This window comes from Homo sapiens, chromosome 18 (genome assembly GCF_000001405.40).
Source record: "Homo sapiens chromosome 18, GRCh38.p14 Primary Assembly".
Lineage (NCBI taxonomy): Eukaryota > Metazoa > Chordata > Mammalia > Primates > Hominidae > Homo > Homo sapiens.
The window spans coordinates 54,986,826-54,992,387 of NC_000018.10; the positions used below are offsets into that span (position 1 = coordinate 54,986,826).

Here is a 5,562-nt window from a genome sequence, read left to right on the forward strand (position 1 = left end):
ACACCATTCCTCCATGAGGCCTTGAGTTGTTTCTCCAGCCTCAGATACAACTGTGCCCTGAATTCTTAGAACACTCAGAATCTGTACCACATAATTGAACATGTAATTGTATTTTTTCTAGTAATGCTTGCTGGTTTTTTTTTTTTTTTTTTTTCAGGATGGCTAGTCTTCTACTTCAACCAGATTGCAAACCCACTAAGGCCTGGGAACATATATGTCTGCATAGAATTGAATGAGACCTTTGAGATCATTCTGTATAATCGTTTTATTTCTACAGCTGGGGAAATTGAAGACCAACAAGTTGTGAGTTGTCCAAGCTCATACTACTAATTAGTATTCAGAAAACTCCTTAAAATTCTGCTTGTTTTTGTCTTCCCTTGATTGGTGAAGAAAAGAGGGAGTGACACTTTTCTCAGGGACTTTGTTACACTGTAGTTTGTCTAGGATTTCCTCACCTTGAGGAGTAGGAGTAGTAAGAGGCATGATCTTGTAGTTTTGGTATAGATATTTTTGAGAATGTGAGTCACTTATCACTCTGTGCTGGCCAGGAAGACTTCAATGTGGAAATTCTGGGACTCTGAACATTGATTTAAATTCTCTCCACCAATACAGGATAAGGCATTAGAATCAAGAGTTTTTCTCCAAGTGGGAACTCCAAGTGGAGTTTTTCTCCAAGGCCGATGAGATAAGCCCTGGTCATAAGTGAGAAAAAGCAGTTCAGATCTGAGCTGGGTTGGCCAGACCAGAGAGAGAAATGGGAGCATTATAAGAGGCTGAGCCTGGCTCTGGAGGTGAGAGTGTTGGGCTTTCTCTTTAGACACCCAAATGAGAGATGCCTTCTTTCCAGCTGGGAGCCTTGAATGGCCTAAGGTGGCTTGCCATCACTGGTCACATCCATTCTTGAGCTGCAGATATCTGAGCCTTGAGAGTCATCAGCCCTGATAGCAAAAGTAGGAAAAAGTCCAGCTAGATCATTGCACATTTGCCATCTTCTCCACTAGTGCCAGAAAATTGCTCATTTTAATCTTTTTTACTCAAGAAAAAAATATCAATATATTTTGATAAAGGTAGTTGGGTTAAACAGGATTTCAATAGTCCTTCTTTAACCTCCAATCTGTTTAGAAACCATTCTTGAGCAGCAATACTTCTTTGCCTGAAACTGAACTGCCCATTCCATTGGTTTTCTCGCCAAAAAGTTGAAGAAGAATCTATAAAAACTGAGAGTTTTTAATTGCTATTATTTTAATAGCTTTAGGGAGGTATCGTTAACATACAGCCAACTGCAAATATTTAAAGTATACAACTTGATTTGGTAAGTTTGGACATATGAATCCACCTCTGAAACACCAAAGCTTCCTTGTATTAATACCTCTTTGAAATGTCTTTCTACCATTCCTGCCCCGTGGTCTCTAGGCAACCACAGATTTGCTTTCTCTCACTCTAGATTAGTTCACATGTTCTAGAATTTTACATCAGTGGAATCCTACAATATAAATCTTTTTTGCTTGGCTTCTTTCACTCAGCATAATCATTTTAAAATTTATTTGTGTTCATCAGGTAATTCATTTTTTTGTTGCTACAAAATAGTATGTCATTGAATGGATATACCAGAATTGGTTTATCCATTCACCTGTGTTTTAACCAAATTTTAGATCAATTTGTCTATCTTTATGTCAATACTACCCTTTTTGATTACTTATGTTTTACAATAAATCTTGAAAGCAGGTAGCATTAGTCCTCCAAATTTGCTCTTCTTTTCCAAAATTATTTTGGGTATTCTACGTCCTTTGTATTTCCATACAGATTTCAAAATCAACTTATCAATTTCTACTAAAAAAAAACTATTGAGATTTTGATTGAGATTGAATTAAATCTATAGATGCAACTGGAAGAGACTGATGCCTTAACGTTATCAAGTCTTCCAAGCGAGGAACACAATGTATCTTTTCACTTATTTGCCTTATTTAATTTCTCATAGTAATGTTATGATAATGTTATTTGAATTTCAATTTCTGATTGTTCATTGCTAGTATATCCAAATATAATTAACTTTTACGTTGATTTTTGTATCCTGCCACCTTACAAAGCTCACTAGTTTTAGGCTGGGCATGGTGGCTCACGCCTGTAATCCCAGCACTTTGGGAGGCTGAGGCAGGTGGATCATGAGGTCAGGAGATTGAGACCATCCTGGCTAACATGGTGAAACCCCATCTCTACTAAAAATACAAAAATCAGCCTGGCATGGTGGTGGGCGCCTGTAGTCCCAGCTACTCGGGAGGCTGAGGCAGGAGAATGGCATGAACCCAGGAGGCGGAGCTTGCAGTGAGCTGAGATCGCGCCACTGCACTCCAGCCTGGGTGACAGAGCGAGACTCCGGAGGGAAAAAAAAAAAAGCTCACTAGTTTTAATTTCTTTTGTTTTGTAAATTCCTTAAGATTTTTCTACAAAGATAACCATATGTCTCCAAACAAGGACAGTGTTGTTTCTATCTTTCAAGCGGAATGTCTTTTATTTCTTTTTCTTATTGTATTGTGCTGGCTAGAACCTCCAGTACAATATTGAATTAAAGTGCTGAAAATGGACATCCTCGTCTCTTTCTTGATCTTAGAAGGAAAGCATCTAGTCTTTCATCATTAAATACAACATGAGCATTTCTGTAGATGCCTTTAACTGGTTTGAGGGAGTTTGCTCCTAACCCACGTCCTGTGAATTATGAGGGTTTTTTTTCAGTCTAGCTGATGGGAACAGGCTTTATTCCTGACTCTGTGAGAGCTCTGGATACTGATTTTTGAAAAACCTACAGTCCTTTATTGAGTTGAGGAAGTTCTCTTCTATTCCTGAATTGTTGAGAGTTGTTTGTTTGTTTGTTTGTTTGTTTGAGACGGAGTCTTGCTCTGTCGCCCAGGCTGGAGTGCAGCGGCTGGATCTCACCTCACTGCAAGCTCTGCCTCCCGGGTTCACACCATTCTCCTGCCTCAGCCTCCCTAGTAGCTGGGAATACAGGCACCCGCCACCACGTCCAGCTAATTTTTTTTTGTATTTTTAGTGGAGACAGGGTTTCACTGTGTTAGCCAGGATGGTCTTGATCTCCTGACCTCGTGATCCACCCGCCTCAGCCTCCCAAAGTGCTGGGATTACAGGCGTGAGCCACCACGCCGGCCGAATTGTTGAGAGTTTTTAACATGAATTAATTTTGTCTGATGCTTTTTCTACATCCCTTGATATTATCATGTGGTTTTCCTTATTTAATGTGATAATATGGTAGATTACATTGATTTTTGATGTATTGTTTAAAAATCTGTTCTTTCTATAAAAATCTTTTTGCAACAAGACAAAAAGAATGGGATGGGGTGCCATTGTAGGAAAAGGTTCTGAAGCCTCATTCAACCTCAGCAGGCAGCAGTTGAGAATTGACAAGAAATGCCTGACCTAGGGGTAGGAGGGGGAGTGGCTGCCCATACACCTGCAGCTGCCATCTCATCCCTCAGTGGTGATGTATTCAACAAAGTAAGTGATGTTTTCACCCACTGCCTTGCAGACAGCTTGTAGTCACTTCTGCTTATGAAATTTCCACAGTCTGGGTGTGGTGGTTCATGCCTGTAATCCCAACACTTTGGGAGGCCAAGGTGGGAGGATCACTTGAGCCCATAAGTTGGAAACCAATCTGAGTAATACAGGGAGATTCTGTCTCCACAATTTTTTGTTGTTGTTGTTTTGAGACGGAGTCTCGTTCTGTCGCCCAGGCTGGAGTGCAGCGGCATGATCTCGGTTCACTGCAACCTCCACCTCCTGGGTTCAGGCAATTCTCCTGCCTCAGCCTTCTTAGTAGCTGGGATTAAAGGTGCCACCACCATGCCCAGCTAATTTTTGTATTTTTAGTAGAAACAGGGTTTCACCATGTTGGCCAGGCTGGTCTTGAACTCCTGACCTCAAGTGATTCACCTGCCTCGGCCTCCCAAAGTGCTGGGGTTACAGGCATGAGCCACTGTGCCTGGCCCACAAATAATTTTTAAAAATTTGCTGGGAGTGGTGGTGTGTGCCCCTGGTCTCAGGTACTCAGGAGGCTGAAGTGAGAGGATTGCCTGAGCCCAGGAATTTGAGGCTACAGTGAGCTGTGATTGCATGACAACACTCCAGCCTGGGCAACGGATCAGACAAAGGAAAGAAAGAAAGAAGGAAAGACATAAGGAAAGAGCCAGAGAGAGGGAGAGAGAGAGGAAGGAAGGAAGGAAGGAAGGAAGAAAGGAAGGGAGGGAGGGAGGGAAAGAAAGAAAAGAAGGAAGGAAGGAAGGAAGGAAGGAAGGAAGGAAGGAAGGAGAGGGAGGGAGGGAGGAAGGAGAAGGAAAGAAAGAAAAAGAAAGAAAAAGAAAGAAATTCCCACAAATGCAATGATGATCTACAAGAGTAGCATCTGAGCCCCTCATGTTGTGTAGCTTACATTTTATTTCATTTTCATAAGTTAATAAAGATGTTTACTTTCTTCTCATTTGAAAAAAAATAACTGTTATATAAACAGCAGGCCTGTGGATATATTTAAGACTAGAACTTCCCCTGACATTTCTTCCGGATAAACTTGTCCTTTGGTCCTCAATTGGGTATCTCTGGGGTGTGAATGATCTGGAGAAATGTCTTTCTTTTTGAAGTTGTAAAGCATAAATGAGAAATTGGCAGTAGGGATTATTTATGCCTATGCTGCCCCTTCCAAACTAATCCCACATGCCAATCTTTATGTCTCTAGTAGAGAAGCCACTGAATGGGGAGAGATGTGTTCATGGTATCTGCAACTAGAATTCAGAAAGAACTTCTTCATATCACTAGGAGCTACATGCCACATAAAATATTGTTTAAAGTGTTTAAAATATTGCTTAAAGTGTTTTGTATGGATGCATTAAGGTTCAAATTTTTTAATTTTGTTTTTCTTAGAATCTACCCTTAAACATAAAGCTTGCTTCAAATGACCAAGAGAAGAATTCATAGAACTTGACCCATTTGTAAGTTGGAGACAGTTGGAATATTATACTAATACATAATGCTAAAGCATATATGTTCTATGTATATTTAACAATATGTGAAGACATTTGAGATGACAATGAATAAAACCTTAGGTTTCTTGTGCAGAAAAAATGAAAATTGTAGAGGGAAAAAAATCCCAGACTGCTACTGAGCTGTCTGAGACAGCTAAACTTGAAATTGATTCTGGCAAGGCCATTACGGGGGTAATTGTCCAAGAGAATGTTTTCTTAGACAGGAAATTAGAGACAGGGAAAACATTATTAAAACTAAAAATTTGTAGATTTTTGAGTCTGCCAGAATGTGTAGCAGCTATTGTATCCCCTTATGGGATTAACGATTAAATTGAATTTCAGTTAGACTCTGAATTTGAGCTGAATTCCAAGTTAAAGAATCTTCAAGGAGAGAGAAAACAGGCAGAGAGATTCAATATGTTGTTGGATACAGTGAAACCCGCCCCCCACACCCTTGCTGGAAAATCACATGTTCTAAGACGTTACCAAAAAAAAAAAAAAAAAAGGAAAGTGAGGGGTTTTATTGCTTATATTAAGT

General features: G+C 40.0%; 1 long non-coding RNA gene across 1 annotated transcript; it reads right to left on the reverse strand.

Moving 5' to 3' along the window:
- Positions 1-250: 250 nt before the first annotated feature.
- On the reverse strand, positions 251-1,476 carry LOC107985125 (uncharacterized). The gene is made up of 2 exons (XR_001753541.3): positions 1,370-1,476; positions 251-938 (listed from the first exon to the last, which is right to left on the reverse strand). It is a non-coding gene; the product is annotated as an uncharacterized LOC107985125 (long non-coding RNA).
- Between the last annotated feature and the right edge of the window lie 4,086 nt (positions 1,477-5,562).